Source organism: Homo sapiens, chromosome 3, assembly GCF_000001405.40.
Source record: "Homo sapiens chromosome 3, GRCh38.p14 Primary Assembly".
Classification (NCBI taxonomy): Eukaryota; Metazoa; Chordata; class Mammalia; order Primates; family Hominidae; genus Homo; species Homo sapiens.
The window spans coordinates 12,295,812-12,320,355 of record NC_000003.12 but is presented as its reverse complement, the minus strand read 5'-3'; the positions used below and the strand labels follow the sequence as shown (position 1 = coordinate 12,320,355).

Here is a 24,544-nt window from a genome sequence, read left to right as displayed (position 1 = left end):
TAGATATTGGTATTTATTCAGACAATACCAAAAGACAAACACCACATTCTGTTCAGCTTTAATTTGTAGTAAGAAAGCAAGGACGCACATTCCTCTAGCGATACATACATGCATACATACATACATATATATATGCACGTATATATACATAAATGTCCAAGATGCATTTCTAACAACGCATCCTCAAAACAGGTTAGTTACTACGTGCTAGGAAACAATCAATCCTTACTGCAAAATGTAATACCTCTGTATGCAGCATAAGGGAGCAGTTTCCATTTACATTCCATCCCTTGAAGAATTACTTAGATTTGACCAGTGAGTGGGGCACTGATTAGCGTGTACCGGTGACTGTTAGCTCGAGTAAGTTACTCAACCTCTTTCTATTTTGATTTATTCATTTGGAAAAGATAAAAAAGTCAAGGCAATTATTACAGTAATACCATAAATATACGCCGTAAATTATTTCTAAACCCTTTATATATTTGATCTTACTTGATCCTTAACATAAACCTTTCTTACTTAACAGGTAAGGAAACTTAAACGATGGCCAAAGAACAGAAGAGGAAAGACAGTAGTAACTCAGTGACCTGGCTCCCAAAGCAGTGAATTTCCCTGGAACAACATGGTTAAGGTTCTTCCAAAGTATAACTAAAAGGTCAGCATCAGTTAAAAAAAAAAAAAGTAAAAATTGAGTATTAAATATCTCTATAGTAATAGGAAATTACTATTGTATGTAATTATCACAATACTTCATGAGTAATATACTTTATATTTCCAGTGAAAGTGACAAGAAAGATTTTGTGGTTTATTAGTCATGCCAGATTTCTCTACGTATTCATAATAGATTGCTTAAAAAATTAGGTCTTGTCAATTGTATTTATAATTTAGTGGTTACTTCTGTATATAAAAGTACTTCAATTTTACGACGCTATCTGGAAGAAGTTCAATAATAGATTTTTTATACTCCTACAAAATGATTGCAAAGCTCCATGGGAATTTAGATTTGCACAAGTTATTAGGATGTGACCTTTCCCTTAGATTTCTTATTTTAGGATCAACTTAACATGGTATTTCCCCAGTGGGAGCTGCTGTACTTCCTTCGCAGATAAGAAAAATAGCAATCACAAATTATAGTGAGCAAACTTAGGGAAACATACATCTCTGTGATGCAGACAAAACTGAAATCTTAAAAGGAGAGCACACTATGTATTCCTTGGGCTTGAGAGGAAAGCCATGTGGCTTGTTAACAAAAGAAAACAAAAGTCATGCCATTATGGTATTTCCCTGAAATTTATACCTAATTGTTTCTTGTCCCAGCCACCAAGTCTTATGACTTTTAAGGATTATTAAAGATGCTTACGTCACTAAATTTCCTATGTCCTGTCTAGTGGGAGTATAAAAGGTTAAAAATATCTAACTTTTAATAATTTAAATTATTTCAGATCACAGGATCTGGACTGAAGAACAAGAAGTCACAAGCTTAAAGGAAAAAAAAAACTAGAACAGTATGAAAGAGAACACAGTTGCTTTCCTTTTGCCCCATGGAACTAGCTTCCAATTATTGAGCACTTACTATGTAACACTGTATATGTATTATTTGTGATATATAAGTTATTGGCGGTACCCAAAGAACCAAGAATACTATAACTCAGACTGTAGAGCTCATAATTGGCTTTATTTATTTGAGGCAAAGAAAACTGTGGAAGGAGACACTGAACCCCCAAACAGAAAGTTGAGAATAAAAAGGAGAGAGTTTCACCCATAATCTTTTTCCTATTCATTTTAATATATTGTAAACATATAGTTTTGTATCTTAAAATTCTTATTGTATCTTTATTCTTAAATTTGTTTCTCAAATATTCAAACCACAAATTTAAAAATATTTGGTTTTAAATGAATATTTTTTAAAAACTGATTTGAACTTATCTCTATGAAAGTCCTACTTTGTTAAATCTGCATTTTCAAAAGCAATCATTTCTTCCTAATAACTAGCAACTTAGACTTAAAGGTGGTAAGGGACCCACAGCACAGTCTTTACATTTTATTTAAATTTGACATAGCCTCAGGAAATAATCTGTAACTTCTTTGCTATTAAGCTGGGTTTTTTAAAAAAACACCATTTGGGAGGCCAAGGCAGGAGGATTGCTTGAGGCCAGACGTTTGAGACCAGTCTGAGCAACATAGCAAGGCCTCATCTCTGAAAATAATTTAGCAATTAGCCAGGTGCGGTGGTGTGTGCCTGTAGTCCCAGCTACTCCGGTGGCTGAGGCAAGAGGGTCACTTGAGTCCAGGAATTTGAAGTTGCAGTGAGCTATGATTGCACCACTGCACTCCAGCCTGAGCAACAGAGGAAGGCCCTGCCTCTAAAGAATAAAAATAAAAATAAACCACTCACATCGTTCTAATCTCTAAACAACTATTGAAGCGCTTCACTCTCCAGCCTCCCACCACTATCATACACCCAAAGCCTTAAGTAAATGATAATTCATTTAAATTAACAGAAATCATTTAAATGTATTTCCAAAATATATTTATGCTTTGTATGTTTTGTTCATTTGCTATTAATATATCCTCCAAGCAATTTGAAATGTCATAAAATTAATAATGCAAGAGTAAGGTAATTAATTGCTCAAACACTTTAACAAAGAAATTCCTCTCTTGGCAATTTATCTGAAGAAAATATTTTTTTAATTGAGTGAAATATTTACATAAAGATATTCATGGTATGTAATGGTATAAGAATAAAACATAATTATACAATAATAAAAACACCAGAAGCCACCTAAAAACTGGCTTAGTAAATTACGTGCTATCACTAAGATTATGTTGCCATTATGAAAACTCTGAAAGCCAGGTAGAAATGAAAAATTTATAGGACCTAACAGTGAAAGAGGCTGAGGGCCAAGTGATGTATATACGGTAACTGTCAGTAAATAAAAAGCATACACATGTGAACAAAACTGGAAGAAACTACAGAAGAATAGTTTTTTTGTGTGGTTGTGATCTTTTTATTTTAAAAAATCAGCTTTTTAGTAATAAAAATGAAAAGAAATGAACAAAAATGAAACAAACCCGAAGGCCAAAATTCAAAAGCAAAAGTAATTTGTCTTCGTTCCTAATCTCAGTTCCACCTGCCTTTAAGGTTGGGGCAGTAAGCATTGCCTATGTTTCAACACTCAAGCCCTGAATTCATAGCATGGGTATAGCTAGGCAGAGAGTTTATTTACAGAGGGCAGGACTGAACTTTGCATGTGAGCACATACAGAAAATGATAAAGATCGTTGTGTCCTATTAGTAATTTACAGAATTGTGATTTGCTCCATCCAGTACATCTATAATTGAATTCCTCAGTCATAAAATCACTGAGACCAAACAAGTTCAGATATCTTTTATCTAAACCCTTTTCTCCCTCACCATCAGTTAGCATATTTCTTACGGGGCTTTTCTTCTTTTCATAGATTCATTTGTCTTAGTTATAAATTAACCCCAAAAGCAACTCTCCCAGCCACCCAGCTCTACTGTTTCCTGTGTACCAGATTTTTTTTAACCTCACAATTTATGGTACACAGGCCATTTAAACTGCCAGTTGGTAAATGATGTCCAGGAACCATCTTTAGATTTTTTAAAAAAAAAAAGGTTCCTAAGGATTAATGGTCCTCTAAGCAGAGATTCCCCTTAGAGCCAGACACCCTGGCAATGAAGTGGAATATAACTGCTGAAGACTTGTTACTTTTTTTTTTTAGTTTTTAAAACTGTATAAAATATACACAATATAAAATTTACCATTTTAACCATTTTAAGTGTGCATTCAATGGCATTAAGTACACTCACAATGTTGTGTAACCATTCTCCAGGATGCTTTCATCTTGCAAAACTGAAACTGTCCCCATTAAACACTAACTCCCCGTTCCTTTCCAGTGCCGCAGCCCCTGGTAAGCACCATTCCACTTTCTGTCTCTACGAAATTTGACTACTTTAGGTGCAACTTCTGTTATTTCTTGTTTCACCTAAAAAATGTGAACTAGTGCAGTTTGCTAAATTAGTTGAACATACACAAGAGTTACCGGCAAAAAAATTCAGGGTTGAATTCCAAATACTTCACATTTCATTTTTCATGTCAAAATGCTTGAATTTAGACCGCTCATTTTCAGACGCCAAAGTACGTACCTGCTCCTAACTTTGTCTTTTAAGAGTTTGCTCTTTTGATTTTAAACGGCTTTATGCTTTTCTAAAGTTAAACTGATTTTCTAGACAACTTAATGCTGTCATTGATTTCCTTTAAGAATGAAAGTTCCCGTAGTACTACTTGTATTCACTGAATTCCCAGACATTTTGCCTAGAAACAATACGGTCTGCTTCTCTCCTCTTCCCATTCAAACAAATATAAGACTACGAGTTCTAAATTCTTGTTCAAATCCTGTCTTGGGTAATGATGATTGGTGGATCAAGAGATTTTTTTCAAAGTATTGCATGAAATACTTTGACAGTTCTGGTGTGAACATTCAAATTAGACCCTCACTGTCACCAACAAAAAACACTGCTAAGATGTGGTTCCCGAGGAGGCAGAGCTTTGTGGAGTTATTCCCACTCACAGGTTTCTAGAGGGCTGTAAGCAACTGGCTAAAGTATTAAGTACACTAAATAGAGACCAGACTTGTAGAGGTAGGGATGGGAGTGTGTATGAGAAGGATTAGAAAATAGCTCAAGAAATAGTCTTGATGAAAAGAATGCCCCTGCATTACTCTGTTCTAAGATTTGCAAATGCAGAATCTTCCTCTATAAATTAGCGAAAATCTAATGAGAATGATTATTTAGTGACTCCATTGTGACCTTAAAAAACTACTTAACTTGAAATAATCTGAGGCTTACAGAAAGGTTGCAAAGATAGTGGAGGGAGTTCCTACATACCTTTCAGCCAGCTTCCCCCCAGTTACCACAGTGCAGTCCCAGCACAATTATCAGTGTTGATACACTGAAGCCAACATACAGCATCCACCTGAGTTCCAGCAACAGATGAATGGATAAAGAAAATGTGGCTCACATACACGATGGAATACCATTCAGCCATAAAACAGAATGAAATCCTGTCATTCATGACAACATGGATGAGCTTGGTGGTGATTATGTTAAGTGAAATAAGCAGACAGATACCACATGTTCTCACTCATATGCGAAGTTTAAAAAGTTGATCTCATAAAAGTGGACAGTAGAATAGTTGCTACTAGAGGCTGGGAAGGGCTGGGGATAGCAAGAGATTGGTTACCAGACACAAAACTACAGTTAGATACAAGGAATAGTTCTAATGATCTATAGCACTGTGGGGTAAATATAATTAACAGCAACCTATCGTATATTTTCCAATAGCTAGAAGAGCAGATTTTGAATGCTCCCAATACAAAAAAATGATAAGTGTCTGAGGTGATGGATATGCTACTTACCCTGATTTGATCATTACACATTGTATGCACGTATTGAAATGTCACACTGTACCACATAAATATGTACAATTATATGTTAATTAAAAATAATAATAAAAGCAAAAAAAGACCTAATAAATTGAGAATGGCACAATACTATAACTATTTGGATTTCACCAGTTTTCCTACTAACGTCCCTTTTCAGCTCTAGGATCCAATCCAGGATCCCACATTGCATTTAATTGTCATGCAATATTCTCCTCCTAATCTGTAGTGATTCCTTAGCAAAGATGTGTCTTTTATGCCTCTGACACTGTTGAACGGCGAGGGTCAGATATTTTGAAGAATGTGTTTGTATTTAGGTTAAAGCTTTCTCATAGTCAAATGAGATTAAGGATGTTTGGGAAGAATTCGAAAGGCATGATCTGTCCTTTTCAGGACATTCTATCAGGGGCATATGAGCTCACTATGTCTTACTATCCTTGATATTGACCTTGATCATGTGGTTAAGGTGGTGTCCATCAGGATTCTCCACTGTAAAGTTACTATTTTTCCTTTTGTAATTACTGAGTAAGTGGGGGCAGATACTTTGAGGTTATGCAAATATTCTGTTTCACCTTAAACTTTCACTCAATTAATTAATTAATTAATTAATTAATTTTTTGAGAGGGAGTCTTGCTGTTGCTCAGGCTGTAGTACAGTGGTGCGATCTCAGCTCACTGCAACCTCCACCTCTTGGGTTCAACTGATTCTCATGCCTCAGCCTCCCAAGTAGCTGGGATTATGGGCATCCGCCATCACACCCAGCTAATTTTTATATTTTTAGTAGAGATGGGGTTTCACCATGTTGGCCAGTCTGGTCTCGAACTCCTGACCTCAAATGATCCGCCCACCTCAGCATCCCAAAGTTCTGGGATTACAGGCGTGAGCCACCATGCCTGGCCCACCTCACTAATTTTAGTATTAGTGGAAGTTGCATGCAGCAATTACTGCTGTGGCTTTGTGACAACAATTTTCTATTTCCCTCATTCCTTTTACATTTATTAAAGTCTTCTACAAGAAAGAGTTCTTCTCCCCCCATTTATTTACTTATTCAGTCATTTATGTATATCAATTTGGACTCATGTGTATACATTTTATTTATAAATCAGATTATAATTCAATATTATACGTAGTTATTTTATTGATGAAATTGTTCCAGCTTTGGCCACTGGGAGCTCTTTCAGGCTGACCACAACATCCTCCAGGCTCAGCCTGTATTTTCCCTGCCCCAGCCTTAGAATTAACCACTTCTCCAAAGAGCTCTGGTTTCCTTTAAGGAAAAATGGTATAGATTGAGTATCTCTTATCCAAAATGTTTGGGACCAGAAATATCTCGGATTTTGAATTTTTTTGGATTTTGGAATATTTGCTTAACACTTACTTGTTGAGCATCCCAAATCCAAAAATCCAAAATCCAAAATGCTCCAAGAGTATTTTATTTGAGCATCACCTATATGCCCAAAAAGTTTGGAATCTGAAAGCATTTTGAAGTTCAGATTTTCAGATTTGGGATGCTCAGCCTGTATTTGGAAACCACGATCTAGTTTGCTACTGGGGAGTCACTGCTTCTAGGTCCTCTAGAAGCAGACAGAGTTAGCAAACATATATATGTATAATAACCCACATATATACACATCTCTATATTAATTTCTGTATCTATCTATCTGATGATTCTTTATTCAATGTTGTGGATTTCATTTATTTGCAGATTTCAGGAAAATGAGCTATTCTGTGATAGCTCATGATTTACCAAAATCAATAGTCCTAAAACTACATAAAACCTTAAAGTGACAGGTCTCCTTTTCCTTCCCAAAAAAGTTGGGGACTAAGAACTGTCTTGGAACCCTATAGTTAGGCCTCGGAAGGATAAATTATCCATGGTGGATATCCCGAAACTTTGGGAGCCCCTGGAGCCTCTGAAATCCTACCCCCATCTAGTCAGTTCCAGGAAGGAAGTAGTTTTAATGCCGGGTATAACTTAGCAATTCTTCCTCCTAGAATGGAGCACATTTGGCTTATACGAAGCTACTTTCTCCTTTGTGACCACAGATTATGACTGCATGGCCAATAGGGAACCATGAAAGAAATCTTAATTTTTATCTCAATTTAATTAAAAGTATCATAAGAATCTAAAATAATGTAATTATTACTTAAGTAGAAAAATAACATGAATATAAAAGACTTTAATTAGAGATTCATTTTTAAGGATTTGAGTTATTTCTCAACTTCTAGGTCATTTTCCTATCTTACCTTTGTTTTGTGTTAGACAAATATGTTACACTGCATAGTCCAACTGACTGGAAAATTATATAGCAGAAAGTATTATAATAGTCAAAAATCACTCTCTAGGAAATTTTACAATAAAATACAATGTATAATTTACATATTCTTTAAAAGGGATACTTTTCAATACAAATGCAGTATAAATTCTGATTTTACTTACCGTTAAAGGCTGACTCTCGTTTGAGAAAATGGCCTTGTTGTATATTTGTGGTTTAGTGTTGGCTTCTTTCAAATCTTAACAATAAAAAAGAGACAAGATTTTCAATATACACACATGTTCAGAATGTGTACACATGTACACAGCCTAGGCTGCCAAAATGTACATGCCCAAATAAATTTACCTTCTCTATTGGATTTCATTCTGAATGTTTGCTTTCCCTGAGCCTACAATGCTTTCTATTCTCTAGAAGTAACTAACAGACCACAAAATGATTCATCATAAATCATGCAGGGCTGGAGAATCTTTTAAAAATTATTTCATAAAAGAAACATCTATTAGAATCACTTCACCTACTTTCCTATTTCCATCACTAACATGAATGAAGCCCCTTTCCATCTTTTATGTCACATGAATGACGATACCTCTATTACTGCACAGACTTAAGAAAAACTAGACCTTAAAAGGATTAATAACCCTGAAAGTTAATGTTTGAGAAGTTATACATGGCAAAAACGATCCTTAGTAAAATATAACTTCATTCTAGATGACACATGGTTATTAAGCCTAAGGTGACAGTACAGTTGTGTGCCACACCACTTAGGCAAGGCAAATGCAGCACACCCCTCACGAAGCAGACTTTTCAGAGGACGAACCAGAGAGCAGATCATCTAAGTAAATGGTCCTAGGGTCTTAGGATTCACAACCTTATCTCTTATGAAAGGCTCAAGGATCCTAGAATAGCTGTATTTTCCATGAAGACAAAACAGCATCTAATGCCAAAAGCCTTATCATCAGGGCTTGAATAGCGCCAACATCGAGACCCGACATTCTACACAGTCTTACCTACATGAAACTCTACAGTATTTTCTCTTTTAAATCTGTACCTTTTAATTTATAATTTACAAAAGCTATTTTATTACTTAACACATGGCATAAATGTAGTAGACCATGAAGATAAAATGTTTTCCCATTTTGTTAACTGTAGCAGGAAATAATATAAACTATAGCCAACGTATTTTGCCTGTTTATTTATTTCTCTGGCATTGTTTAGTACTTCTATTTGAAAAATGAGAGAAAACCTTTTCACTTTGGAAGGCTGAGGCAGGCGGATTGCTTGAGCCCAGGAGTTGGAGACCAGCCTGAGCACCACAGCGAAATCCTGTCTCTACAAAAAACAGAAAAATTAGCTGGGCATGGTGGCATGTGCCTGTAGTCCCAGCTACTCAAGAGGCTGAGGCAGGAGGAACTCTTGAGTCCCAGAGTTCAAGGCTGCAGTGAGCTATGATCACACCACTGCACTCCAGCCTGGGCAACAGAGTGAGACCCTGTCTCAAAAATAAAAAAAAAATTTTAATACAGACTCAATATCAAAAACAAAGCAATAATTTTCTTTTCAGAATGGGACATGTTCTTCTTTAGAAAGAGCTAATGTGTCAGTGTGTAATGCCCACATGTTTTATGTTTTCTGGCTGTGACTGCTGACCAGTATCACAGCAATTTACATAAACACACTCTAATGTGTTAGCCAGAAATGAAAGGAGCACCCACAGCGAAACCGCTCATTACACACAACAGGCAAAACACATGAGAGATGAGAAACACTTTATCTATGACAGATTACCACTTGGGTTTTTTTTTTTTTTTTTTTTTTTTTTTTTTTTTACATTTAAGGCAACTATTAAAAAGGGCTCGGCCGGGCACGGTGGCTCACGCCTGTAATCCCAGCACTTTGGGAGGCCGAGGCGGGCGGATCACGAGGTCTGGAGATCGAGACCATCCCGGCTAAAATGGTGAAACCCCGTCTCTACTAAAAATACAAAAAATTAGCCGGGCGTAGTGGCGGGCGCCTGTAGTCCCAGCTACTTGGGAGGCTGAGGCAGGAGAATGGCGTGAACCCAGGAGGCGGAGCTTGCAGTGAGCCGAGATCCCGCCACTGCACTCCAGCCTGGGCGACAGAGCGAGACTCTGTCTCAAAAAAAAAAAAAAAAAAAAAAAGGGCTCAAATACGTGAAAACAAAGGTAAAAATTTTAATCTAAAAAACGGAACCAAATCTGTATGTAAAAATTAAAGGAGTTGATTCCAGGTTAAGATTAAGTTGTACCAGCTTTCCTTGATACTTGTGCCAATTTTCCTTTGAAATACATAGGTATTTCTTCAGAAGTAGATGGGCAAAAAGTAAAGATTTCTAGAAACTGGTATCTATTCTTAGTGTGTAGCCCCAAGTGTCGGATCAAACAGAACACTTGGCTGGTTCTTACTACTGTCAGAGTCAGGCAGATTTAGGTAACCTTTCCCCCAGACCCCCTCCTGCTACCAGTCCTCTTCCTTCTGAACCCATTCAGAACTGCACTGTATCTTAGAAGGAATCGTCCCCAGATGTGAAACACAGTAGGGCAGAGACAAGATCCATTCTGGGGGGAGTAGACACCAAGGATTGCCGTTCTTTCACCTCTGCCATCTGGTCATTTAACTCAAGATTAGTTTATATTCATTCGATTATAAACACCCTACCCATCATCCCTAGAAGCCAGAGAACTGGGCTGTGAAGACAGCAGACAATTGCCTCACACTTAAACACAGCCCACGTTAGACAGGGGCTGTTCATCTCTACTCACACAATGATTTTACATCTGGGATGGGATTTTTACCAGAACCTAAGTAAATAATAAGGCAGGCCAAGGGCAGTTTACTCAGACTAACTTGTCTGAAATGAAATAAATGGTGAAGTTGACTTAAGATACAGAAAAATAATTAACAATGGAAATAATTGAAAACTTATCAAAGAATTACTTCCTCCAAAAGCTATTAGTTTTATAGTTGATTTTTTAAAGCTTTCAAGGAAGAGATGATTTTCTTACTACATAAGCTGTTTCTCAGTAGGAAAAAATATAGTGACATAATTAACTTTTCTGGAGTGTCATAACACTGATATTAAAACCTGACAACAGAGAAAAATATCAGTCCCACTTATCAATATTGATTTTAAATAATAAATAAAATGTTAATTAACAAATTAAATCCTCTATTAAAATAATGAACCACCATAATCAAGTTACATTTATCTCAGAAAGGCAAAGAGGATTTAATATTTGAAAATCTATTAAAATGTGTCACAGCACTAGGTCAAAAAACCGTATGATTACTACAAAAACGACAAAAACAGTACTCAGTAAAATTCAACATCCATTCTTGACAAAATTTCTTTTAAAAAGCATGAAACTTTAAAAACAAGAATATTAATCTCAAACTTTACAATCAGTATCATCTTAATTGTGAAATACAAGAGCAGCATTTCCCAAAATGTATTCTATAGATAACTTGTTCCCTAAGATTTTCCAACAGAAAAGGTTCTACCATAAAATAAATTTGCATATGGTCTTCATTTTTGGAGATTAATAAAGTACATTAGCATAGTATGTACTCTGCAAACCTTGTAATTTAAAAAACAAAACCATCATCAACAATAACAATCTGCTTCTCGGTTTAATTCAATGGTTCTCAAACTTACTTGAACACATGTTTTTAATTTTTTATTATTTCACTCCTCAACCCACTTTACTGTGGTTTTTGTCACCTACCTTTCTACTGAAACTTAAGTATATGTCATCTCCTTCTTGCTAAATCCATTAGACTTTTCTTGACTTCAATTCTATTTTCTCAGTGGCATGCTGGTAAATATTTAACTGGCTCTCTTTGCAGAGAAAAATGCCCTGATTGGTAGTGTTTGCCAATTTTTGTGGTGTAAATACTCCCACCATGACTGATTTAAAAGCAGCACAAATATTACAGTGTATTTCCACTACTCAGATACCATGGGCATGAATCATCTCAGCAATGTAAAGTAATAAGGAAGTGGTATGCTTTGTGTATTTATTACTTTTATTTTTAATATAATTTGTTTAACTGTATTCAATTTAAGTTTTAATAATAGCATGCATAACGATTGGCTCAATAAAATTGTGAAAATTTAACAATGTGGCTCCAGCACACCACGGTCTCTGCCTCTGCAGCATTTGATATTTTGCCCATCCTCCACTATTGAATCTGTCTCTTTTCTTGGCTCCTTGAAATCAGTTTCTCCCTTTTTTTTTTTTTTTTTTTTTTTTTTTGAGACAGGGTCTTGCTCTGTCATCCAGGTTAGAGTACAGTGGTGTGATCATGGTTCACTGTAGCCTCAACCACCCAGGCTCAAGTGATGCTCTCACCTCGGCCTCCCAAGTAGCTGGGACTACATGTGTGCGCCATCACACCTGGCTAATTTTTCATTTTTTTGTAGAGGCGAGATCTCCTTATGTTGTCCATGCTGATCTCTAACCCGCCTTGGCCTCCCAAAGTGCTGGGATTACAGGTGTGAGTCACTGTGCACGGCCTCCTATTATCCTACCTTATGATGACTATTTTAGTCCCTTTTCCTGGTACCCCTGCTTTCTGAGCTTTTCTATTTTGTGTTCTCTAAGTTTCCTCTTGGCCTTCATCTCTTCTTTATATTCTTGCCCTCAGCACTGTGACTCATAACACATCTACTTGCTTACAGCTCCCAAATCTATCTCTAAACACAACTCCTCTCTTGAGAGTTCCAAGGAAGAACAATTCAACACCTAATTGGACAACTCCTCATTCTCTGCAAAATTAAAAGAAATTCCTTTCTTTACCGGGGTCTTTCAAAATACATTAAAGAAAATTCAGCTTATAACCACAAAGCAACCCTTCTCATATACTCCTTCCCTTCAATTTCCTCTTAATTCCCTTTAATTTTCCTTTAAGTGTTTTCACACACCATGCTCTCCAAAGTGTCTCCTTCACCAAAGGCTGTCCTACCTACACACAGTCTTTATTCCCAGCCCAGGAATTTCACGATCTCTCTCTCTTCCTCTCATTCCCAGCACTTTATGTCTATCAACCCAAATCTTCTGCTTTTCTTGACTAGTTCCTTTCTACTCATTCTCTAATTCTTTTTCATAAAAACATAGGACTGACCTTGTAAGATCAACTTTTTTAAGAGTAGGGGAAGGGATTATTGTACTGTCAAATTACAATTCTCTTTGGTGGGTTGGGAGAGGTGGAAGTATGTGAACACTCACAAATGACTAATTTTTGTCCTATGCAAGTAAATACACGGATCTGTCCCCTAACCCCACCATAGCTGACTGATTCAATTAGAGGCCAGACACAAGATGAGCCGTTTACATTCCTCTCCAGATTTTTTACAACACTGACAAAATTTGCTATATTCAATTGACCTCTGTATCCTGAGACAAAATAAAATGTCTTTATTTAGATTAAGAGGAATTTAAGAGAGACAAAAAAAAAAAAAGAATTTCCTAACAGCGGTTGATTTTTTTTTTTTTTTTTTTTGAGACGGAGTCTTGCACTGTCGCCCAGGCTGGAGTGCAGTGGCGCGATCTCGGCTCACTGCAATCTCTGCCTCCCGGGTTCACGCCATTCTCCTGCCTCAGCCTCCCTAATGGCTGGGACTACAGGCGCCCACCACCACGCCCGGCTAATTTTTTGTATTTTTAGTAGAGATGGGGTTACACCGTGTTAGCCAGGATGGTCTCGATCTCCTGACCTCGTGATCCACCAGCCTCGGCCTCCCAAAGTGCTGGGGGATTACAGGCGTGAGCCACCGCGCCCGGCCCAGCGGTTGATTTCTAAGTGATGATGAAGTTACTAAATATAAAGATTTGGTGATCTAATTTATCTTGTCATAAGCAACAACAGGTACTTTCAAGTTGCTTACTACTTACAAGACACATAAGCTGATTTGCAGTGAATTAACACAACTAAAAGTTTAAATTTAATCCACTGTTACATGTGAATATGGTTACACCTGTATAGGTCTAATTGTTAAATGTGGAATAGTGGTGGCGGTGGTGATGGGATGTGGACATCTCATTCCCTGGAAGGCCAAATACTTGCAAAGTAGGCTCCTGTGCATGACAGGGTGGCTGGGTTCAGATTGTCTGGGTTCAAATCCTAGTTTTTATCACCTGGCAGGTTATTTTACCTCTCTGTTCCTGTTTCTTCATCTGACTTTAATACTGTATATTAGGAGTCCCCCACCCCAAGGCCGTGAAGCAGTAGCAGTCCATGGCCTGTTAGGAACTGGGCCACGTGGCAGGAGATGAGTGGTGGGCGAGCGAACATTATTGCCTGAGCTCCGCCTCCTGTCAGATCAGTAGCAGCCTTAGATTCTCAAAGGAGTGCAAACCCTATTGTGAACTGTGCATGTGAGGGATCTATGTTGCATGCTTCTTATGAGAATCTAACTAATGCCTGATGATCTAAGGTGGAACAGTTTCATCCTGAAACCATTTCCACCTGCCACCAGTCTGTTGAAAAACTGTCTTCCATGAAACCAGTCCCTGGTGCCAAAAAGGTGGGGGACTGCTGGTGTACATAGCTGCTGAAAGAATAAAATGAGATAATGTATATAATGTGCTTAAAACAGAGCCTGATATAGAATAAGCATTCAACAAATATTAATTATTACCATCAAGAGCTAGATGACTTATTTGGTGCTTGAGTTAATTATGGAGTTATCGTTCAGAAGGATGGTTAAATGACATTTTGGTTCAAGATTTAAACTGCAGAATGGTCTAAAGGTAGAGAGAATGGAGAGAAAACGTTCTCTAAGCATGAAATTGTATGGTTACATTTATAAATTCATTGTATACTAAGTTACCTTAATGAGTAATGTTAGTCTAAAAAGTTATGATGGCTATTTGGGATTAGGAGGTAGAATGACACTACAGATTTGAAATATTAAGCAACAATTATTTGTTGAGCATCTGCTATTTGTTAGCAGTGTTCTAGACAATAAAGATACAGAATTAACAAAACAAATACTCCAGCTCTTGTATGACTGCACATATGAAAGTGTAATAAAAAATTAGATGCTGAAGACATCTGCTATATCTGCATTTGGAAAAAAGAGGACAGAAACCAAGGTTGTTAAAGACAATTAGGAGTTATTCAACAAGCCATTACGCTTACAAAAATTTATGAGTCAAAGTCTACTGACCTCCTTCTACCAATTTGAAGATTAGTGAGTCAATACTTTAAAAAAATCAATCAAAATCCATTTATAAGTGACATCCAACTTTATTTCGTCTCATAAAGAGCAACATAACATTTCTGTTAATGTTAAATTCAGAATAAAAAATCCCTATTTGATCATGTGTTTAGTAGATAAAAATATACTTCACTTCCATATTACACTCAGAGACAACCAAAGGCAGAGACAGTAGCAATTGGGAAAGAGAGGAAAGGAAGCAGAAATTCAGAGGGAGAGAAACAGAGACAGAAAAGAAGGAAAGAAGAAAACATAGGGAACACCAGGAACGAAAAAGGGGAGAAGGGTAGAGGGAACAAGAACAAGAGCTAGTGCTACAATTGAGGGGAAAAGAGGAGGAAAGAGAGGAAGAAAGGAAGGAAAGAAGATAGAAGACAAGAAAGGCTCAGACATTCCAATTAGTCAGAGGCAGTAACTTTTCCATGTTCAAGGTCAGCTATTTGCTTTGGATATCAGTATCAGAGAGAGTCGTCATTAGTTGTTAAATATTAAGAAATTAAGGAGCCACCAAAATTACTCAGCCAAAAAGTTTTCCCATTGTTATTACATATAAATGCGACTTTAAAGAAACTATCTTTGCTTCTTTCTGTATTCACGTTTTCCTTTGCTCATACTATTTTTCCATTTGAAATATTTTCTCCGCCCTCACCTCACATTCATTCAACAATATTCAATAAATATTTATTGGGTAAATACTGTGTAATACCAGGCACATGTGAAATTTTTACATACATCTTAATGAAAAGTATAACCTGTTTTAATAATACATAATGAAAATTGGCTATTTTAACAAAATATTCTACTAGACTTGAAGTGAAACAAATTTTTTTCTTCTGCAGCTAACATTTTTCTTCACCTGATACCATAAGCATTAAAATCATCCTCATGAAAATAATGTCCTTTGAGTTAAAAACATTCTAGAATTTCCCCCAAAATATAGTAAGGCTATCACTCCTATAGGAGTCTACGTCCTCCACATCCTCTAAAGTGCAATTAACCTATGATCATTCTAGCTGTTAAACGTAACAGTTTGACGTTTGCAGTAACTGGTCACATAAGTTGAATAATAAAAGTTATTTCACCCAATTAAAATGGCATCCCAAAGACATCCTCAAGTGGGTAGTCACGCCTGGTCTTATTCAACCCCAATATGACATCACGGGGGCAAGAATGAATGATTTACAGGTCAGCAGCTTGACTGCAATTTATGTAACTCACTTCTGCAGAAATTTGCGTGACTTGTGACACACATCACGTGAAAGAGGAACTTACTATAAATATTAAAGTTGGAAATAAGTGAATGTCTGAGAAGGCATTAGAGAATAGTACTTGCTTTAAAAAGAATTGTGGAACTAACTGTACAGATAAGTTCAAAATTGAATCTACATGTAAATTTAGGTAACTGTAATTCCAAGTGCTAATAGAAACAGACAGAAACTTAGTATATGTACTGGTGTTCCAATACAGCCAGTTATGAAGAAAATATGTTCTACTAAGTTCACATTAGAGAATAGGGAATCATGGCACCTTAGTTACACAAGACCTGATAAGTCACCCACTCCATTTCTCCCACCAAAGCAAGACTTCTTGAGAGATGATTCAGACTCTGCATGAATATGTCCAATGACGAAGCACTCACTTTCTCACAAATCATCCTTTCCCACTATGGGACAGCTGTAGTTATTAGAATGCTTTCCTTATGCTGAGCTGAACCAGACCTCCCTTTAATTCCTAGCAATCCTTTGACAAAGAAGGACTATTTATGTGACAGCGAGCTCCACAAGGGAAAGTGCCAGTCCATCTTGCCTACTGCTCTGGTCCCAGTGTCTAGCACAAGGGGTGGAACACTGTAAAGGAGCCATAAAACATGACTGCCTGGCCAGGCACAGTGGCTCACACCTGTAATCCCAGCACTTTGGGAGGCTGAGGCGGGCAGATCACTTGAGGTCAGGAGTTCGAAACCAGCCTAGCTAATATGGCGAAACCCCATCTCTACTAAAAATACTTTTAAAAACTAGCCGGGTGTGGTGGTGCATGCCTGTAATCCCAGCTACTCAGGAGGGTAAGGCAGGAGAATCGCTTGAACCCAGGAAGCGGAGGTTTCAGTGAGTCAAGATCGTGCCACTGCACTCTAGCCTGGGTGACAGAGTGAGACTCCATCTCCAAAAAAAAAAAGACTGCCCTACAGGAGTCAGTCATCAACTCCACTCATTCATCCTTTAGGGCAGCGGTCTTCTAACTCTGGCATGAAGGAAGTTTTCTTGTCTCTTACACCTACTGTGGATATTGCTATGAAATGCAAAATCATGCGCTTGAATATCATAATAATATTAAAGTTTTAAAGACTTACCCTCAAATCTACCCTTACTGTGTGCCAGGTCTGTAACTAACACTTGTGGGGCAGCATCAAGCCACGGACCACACTTTGAGCATCATTCTCTGCTTCAGAGCATCGTCCACATCTGCCCTTCCACTTCACTCTTACAGGCCCTCCTCATGGTATGTCCGGATTTTGCAGCAGCCTCCTGACTGCTTTCCCTGCATGCTACTGCCAAATTAATCTTCTGATTCAATCATCTCACCCCTCTTCTTACGATATGGAATCTCCCCGCTCCTGAGATAAAACCCACACTCCTTCTCCTGCATTCCAGACCTTTTATCATCTGGCCTAAAATCTACACTTCCAACCATGTTTCTCACTACTCACATCCACGCACTCTCCACTTCAAACTGGTTAATCTCTGCAAACCTTCCCTTAACTCTATGCTTATTTGCTATTCCAGGCTTTGTTTTCTTATACTGGAAATTATTTTCTCTTTTGGTTACCTCAAACCAGGAACTTTTTTTTTCTTAATTTGAGGTAAAATTCACAATTTAAAATGTATTTATGAAGTGTGTACAATCCAATGGTATTTAGTAATTCTTAAAGCTGTGCAATCATCACTTCTGTGTAGTTCCAAAACATGTTCATCACCTCCAAAGGAAATCCTGTACCCATTAAGCAGTCACTCCCCCTTTCCTTTCTCTTCAGCCCCTGGCAACTCATCTGCTTCCTATCTCTATGGATGTACCTACTCGGGATATTTTGTACAAATGGAATCATCCTTTAATTCCCTTCTTGTTTCTTCTTCTGTATTGTTTTTAGTATTTTTCGTGAGGCTATCCTGTCAATCCCTGAGCTTCCAAAGTTTAGTTCAATTCCCACTTTCTCTACAAGGCTTTACCTGGCTGTACCCTCCACTCCACACTGATCTTAGCCTTCTCTGAATTTCTGTAGCATTTGTTCTCTCCCTTTACTTATTTTAGCCCTTAATCACATACTGCTGTGAATTGTTAGTTACCTGTTTCAACACTACCCCTTCTTGGCTCACGCAGATGATAATCTCGTAGCTACAGAAGCTCTGGTATCTCCCTTTGTGCCTAGAACCAACTTGAACACATGTGCAACTGTTGTGTCTGGCAAGACATGAAGGAATAATAAATCAAGAAAACTGAAGTCTAGATGATGAATAAGAGAAAGCCTCAAACCTGTTTCAGTTCTTTATCCTTCCTTATATTATCTTCTCTTGGTAAGAGAAGCATCTGCTTGTGTCTAGCAGGGCACTTCTTTGCCCTAGTAGCTGAACAGGTGTGGTGGCAGGAGGAGAATGGCAGGTTGCCCAGCAGTGGAGAGCATGGAAGTTCCTTGCATTGATCTTTAGTGAGCAGACTCCTACCTTCGTTCTACACCCACAGATGAAGGCCTACCAAGAAGACTGGTTGTCCAGAGATGTCACAAGGTCCATCTATTTGCTTTGCTTGTATATGTAAAGCAGTTTCTTTGGTATTTTGAAGTTGCTTATTAACACATATCTACCCTATAAAAGGAGATTAACTGTTAAATAATTGTGATGATAATACTTGTGATTCATATATGAACTAGCTGAGCAACTGAATTAAATTACATATTATGAACAAATGAGGCCAAAACTTGATAGTGTTTTATCTAATATGTAACGAAGTTTAAGAAGAGAACCAGTTTTATTTTATGCATGAGTAGTAAGTCTGAATAACATTTTGTACTGGGCATTATTGTAAACCTTTCTCCAACTGTGGTACTAAGCAGAGTTTGTTACAGTTGCCATTGAAAGTCTCCAAACAAGAATGCAAAACAATGCTCTGGCCCTTAGGCCATTAAAAAACCTGTTCTTCTGACCAGAACAACTACGAGGTCCAACATAGAATGTTGAAGTCTATAATTAACATTTTTCCCTTTCATATCCCATTTTGTCTGCTTTAGAATAACAAAATGGAAATTTCTCCTGGCATTAGTTTCATATCATTATGTATCACAAAAACAATACATAAAATAGGAATTAATATTTTAAAGAGTAGTTTAGGAAATTCCCTAAGATTGTGGAGAATCCTATACAAGTGATACTGAAAAAGCACACACTTGTCCTCAAAATAAAATCAAGTTGAAAAGTATTAAAAAGTGTATATAGTGCACCCAGTTTGGCTGGGAATTAGGGAAGGTATACAGTGCACAGCAAGGTAAAGAGAATGAGAACTACTATACACATTCTTACCCTCTAGGAACTAACAATTTTGCTTGGTACATGGAATTTTCCCATGAAAATTATCAGACATGACATCAAATAATCAGCAAATATGTGTAACACAGAACATGGAATATATCAGATTCCATTTCAGAGTAGATCTGCCTTCTAATTATGTTTTACTTTGGCTGATATTAATATTAGTCTGCATTTTCTGAATTCAAAAGCTGGTTTCACCTCCTTTGAGAATGAAAAAAAAAAAAGCTGGGACCAGGATAAATATTTCATACACAAGTTATAGGACAAAGAAAGTCAACCTGACATTTAAAAATTTAATGTTCACGATAAAAAGAAATTAACTGTGGCTGTATTGTGCTTGGTTAGGATCAAAGATCATACAGCAGGCTAAGTCGAATACACAGCATGAATTACATGAATGGCTTAAAGACACAACCATGGCAATGCGCTGTGTTCAATCACTGAGTCATTTTCTCAGCTTTTATTGAGCTGTGGTAATCTGTGTGCCCAGTGCCAGATACTGCTATGTCTCACCATTTTATAAGGTCATGTTCATAGGTGGGCAGGTTTAATGAGTGGTCATTTGGTAAATGTTTGTAGAACCAAACAAATTAACTCTGGTGAAATTTGCAAAATTTGAAGGTTTTGGTTACATCTGTATTGAGTTACACTGTAACATTTCACGGCCCTGTATATATGAAAGAATTAATTCTATTTAACTTTATATAAAGTCCATCAAAATTGATTTTCCTTATCATTTTTTCCCAAAAAATTCATGTGGTTCAGAATTTATTTCTAAGTGGTCAATATGATATTTTCTGTCAACTTGAAAACAGAACTGAAATAGTAAACAGTTTGTGAATACAGACATTGAAAATAGCTATAGTAAGTAATTTGATCAAAATAATTTGGTCGTTTAAAATAGGATCTGGGTCTCCTTTTACGCAAATATTATATTCTAAGCTTGTAAAAGTTTGTAATGGCCTTTTAAAGAGAAAGTAGCCAACTTTATCTCCCAAGAAAAAAAGTTTTTTTGATGTTAATGGGACAGTCTCCATGAACTTTGTTTTACATTTTCTTAGGGTTAAATAATTTTTTTAAATTAATTGATTTATTTATAAATTAAATTCACTTGAATAGTTAACCACTTAAATCTACTGTGAAAACATTATAAAAATAAATAATCCTTTTGCAAAGTGAATAATCCTCTTGTCATTTGGATTTTCAAGGAAAGTAATAACTTATTAGCAAAGGATTCATTCTTACCTCCTCTGAAATCACTTCATTACTGAGACAGAAATTATAAATATATTATGCATAATATACAATATAGAATACATGCAACATAACCTAAGATAATAGGATAGTAAGAGAGCTGGGAAAAAATATTCAAGGATACAGATTTTCTTTCCCATACACTATACCAATCTCAGAGAGAGCCCCCTGAGTCCACGGTGCCTAGCAATGCCATCTAGTTACAAGACACAGGCCCATTCACCCCCTCTTAGTCACCGTCATTCCCATTGAAAAATGTTCTCGTTAAATCTAGATAACAATAATTGTAAACTCAAGGAGGAATGGAATTTGTCTGTTCATTGCTTTATCCTCCTTATCTGAAACAGCTTGTGGCACAAATAAGTGGCTCAATAGACATTTGTTGAATAAATCTTCATTTAAAAAAAGCTTCAGGCTGGGCGCGTGGCTCACACCTATAATCCCAGCACTTTGGGAGGCAGAGGCCAGAGGACTGCTTGGGCCTACGAGTTCAAGACCAGCCTGGCAATACGGCGAACCCCTGTTTCTACAAAAAATATAAAAATTAGCTGGGTGTAGTGGCTCACACCTGTAGTCCCAGCTACTTGGGAGGCTGAGGTGGGAGGATCACTTAAACCCAAGAAGTTGAGGCTGCAGTGAGCCATGATGGCACCACTGCACTCCAGCCTGGGTGACAGAGTGAGACCCTGTCTCAATAAATAAATAAATAAAATACAAAAATGAAAATAAAACGCATCAGTCTCAGTAGATCTATTCTCTAAGGTATCATCACATCGAGGTTCTTTTACCCATAAACACATTCTAAGATCTATAAACTAAATATTGTTAGCTGAAGTTTGTCTTGGCTTATCATTAAGGATGAAATCATCCCAAACTGGGGAGGCATACAGAATAAATATTTATAACACTGATATGAAATTTCTAAAAAGTTTTTAAAACTTTAAGATAAAGATTATTCTAGGACATGCCACAAGTTTCACAAAAGAAGTCCCAAAGAAAGTGACAAGAAAAATGTAATCTGTAACCGCTGTCAAAGGCAAAACCACTTAACTTTCTCCTTTGGGATTTCTAGGACAATGCAACAGAAAAGATGAAAAAAGAATTCATTCAAAGGCTATTACTGTGTGTGTGTGTGTGTGTGTGTCTATACATATATATAACTTTCACAATGTTCACACTGATTTTGGGAAACCTCTACTCGCTTGCTATTTTACATTTCTTTTTTTTTTTTTTTTTTTTTTTTTTTTTGAGACAGAGTCTCGCTCTGTCGCCCAGGCTGGAGTGCAGTGGCGGGATCTCGGCTCACTGCAAGCTCTGCCTCCCGGGTTCACGCCATTCTCCTGCCTCAGCCTCCCAAGTAGCTGGGACTACAGGCGCCCGCCACTACGCCCGGCTAATTTTTTGTATTTTTAGTAGAGACGGGGTTTCACCGTTTTAGCCGGGATGGTCTCGATCTCCTGACCTCGTGATCCGCCCGCCTCGGCCTCCCAAAGTGCTGGGATTACAGGCGTGAGCCACCGCGCCCGGCCCATTTCTTTTTATTTTTAAAATTATTATCACAAATTATATGAAGGGCTCATAATGAACATTTGTAACAGAAATTTACCTTTCTGTGCATCTGCATCAGCTGCTATTTATAAGTGCAACATTCTGTCAGCAGCAGGAAAACTGGGTAACTCTATCATGAGGTCATTCAATTTTAGAAAAAAAGGAACATAATAGAAAAAAATTAGAAAAAAATAAAGAGAGAAGGGCTTTAAAAGAAAGTAACTCTGGAAACTATTTTTTAAAAGCTCTATTTGCCAGCATATGCTAAAGATCAAGTAGATCACGGACCCAAACAAATCAACAAAATTAAACCTTACGTATGGCTGAGAACATTAAGAGGCCATAACAGAGATGGGTTTCTTTCCCCATGCCAAATAGAGACTAGGCAAGTAAAATGTACAGGGAAGTCCAATATGTGAAATAAAATTTAGTATAAAATAAATTTTGGGTATAATAGGAAAAAAATCATATATTGCCTTGATCTTTACTATCAGAAGCACAGACACACCAAAAAGAAAAAAAAGCTATAAATGTATGCTTTTGATTATAGAAGTAATTTTATACTACTGAATAAACTTTGGGAAAGAGAGAAAAATATAAAAACAAACAAAAAGCCCTCCATATCTCACTACTGTAACATAACTATTATCACTTTTGTATATTCTCTTCCAGACTTTTTCATATACATACATTTTTGTAAGGTTCCAATCAATAGTTCACACACATTTTTTATCCTACTTTTTAAATATTCTTCAGAGTTGTGAGTAGTTTCTAAATTGTCATTATAACTGTACAATATTTTAACTATTGATTATACCATAATTTATTTAAACATCTCCCTACTGTTGGATATTTAAGTTACTTCCAAATATGGGTTCTTATAACAATGCTTTTATGAAACTCTTCGTGTATACGGCTTTTCCTATATTCTCCAGCCCTTTGGAAAAAGTCCCAAAAGTTACAAAACATTGCCCAATGCTTTCTAAGTAACCTGAACTAAATCTTAGTGACATCAGATATATATGAGTGTAAATCTCTTCAATCCTTGAAATTATAGAATTTTAAAATAAAAAAAACTATTATCAACAATCACTAGGAAGGGAATATTTTCTACTATTATTAAACTGGAATTGAGGTTTACAAATCCATATCTTGTAAATCTGTTTAACATGAACCAGTCCTCTAGGGCCGATCATCTTCTGTGATTTTATAAAATCCAGTCTTTGAAGTTGTAGTCTTTGACGCGGAGACTAGGGATTCCTAAGCAGCCATGCTAAGCTAAAAAGAACCAGTGTTGCAAGGTCTAATTAGTGAGCCGGCTAGCCTCTTGACAAAAGCTTATTGACACCACTACTGAGCTTTTCTAAGTAATAAATGATAGGTCAATGGGGGTAGTTTTATAGGATGGTTCCAAGAGATCCTATGAGTGGAGAGAGATAGGGCAAAGAACTTAACCATAAGCAAGGGTAAGGCTTACTAGAAATCATCCAAAGCACACTGACAAATGGGCCCCACTCTATCAGGTGGGGTGCAAGAATCATCTTGGACCAAGAGTTCCCAAACAGCGTATAAAGCAGAGTCCCTAAAACACAGATTGCTAGGCCCACCACAGGTCTGGGATGAGGTCCAAGAAACTGCATTTCTAACAAGCTGCCAGAGGATGCTCACGATCCCAGGACCACATTTTAAGAACCACTGCCTTAGACTAATTCTTTATTCTTTTTTTTTTTTTTTTTTTTTTTTTGAGACAAAGTGTTGCTCTGTTGCCCAGGCTAGAGTGCAGTGGCACAATCTTCTCGGCTCACTGCAACCTCCACCTACCGGGTTCAAGTGATTCTCCTGTCTCAGTCACCCGAGTAGCTGGGATTACAGGTGTGTGCCACCACGCCCAGTTAATTTTTGTATTTATTGTAGAGACGGGGTTCTGCCACGTTGGCCAGGCTGGTCTCAAACTCCTGGCCTCAAGTGATCTGCCTACCTCAGCTGCCCAAAGTGCTGGGATTACAGGTGTGTGCCACCATGACCAGCTCTTTCTTCTTTCTAAAACATTTAAGTGCCTACTAAGAATTGTGCTATATGCTGGAATAGAATTCAGTCAGTACCTGCCTTCAAGAAATTGGTGTCTAGATTTTTGCAGACATCAAACTGCTCTAGTCCTAAAAGTCACCAAATTTGAGCCTTCTTTGC

At 37.2% G+C, this 24,544-nt stretch overlaps 1 protein-coding gene across 13 annotated transcripts in view, besides 1 other annotated feature; it reads right to left on the bottom strand.

The window, feature by feature from the left end:
- The window catches only part of PPARG (peroxisome proliferator activated receptor gamma), a 146,977-nt gene that overhangs the window by 113,989 nt on the left and 8,444 nt on the right, over nt 1-24,544 (bottom strand). For 9 of the 13 annotated variants that reach the window (NM_001354666.3, NM_138712.5, NM_001374261.3 and 6 more), the window contains exon 2: nt 7,903-7,976. The exons of 2 other annotated variants lie outside the window; for them this stretch is intronic. The gene's annotated coding sequence lies outside the window, so the exon portion shown is untranslated. Of the gene's footprint in view, nt 1-7,902; nt 7,977-18,319; nt 18,382-18,506; nt 18,590-24,544 lie in introns of those variants that run through there. 2 more of the 13 variants (NM_001374263.2, NM_001374264.2) reach the window with 2 other exon arrangements.
- Nucleotides 13,195-13,402: a silencer, noted in NCBI's record as "fragment chr3:12348453-12348660 (GRCh37/hg19 assembly coordinates)". NCBI's record gives its function as "represses an EF-1alpha promoter that drives an FKBP-Casp9 reporter gene in an ReSE screen in HepG2 liver carcinoma cells {active_cell/tissue: HepG2}" and the evidence as "EXISTENCE:reporter gene assay evidence [ECO:0000049][PMID:32094911]".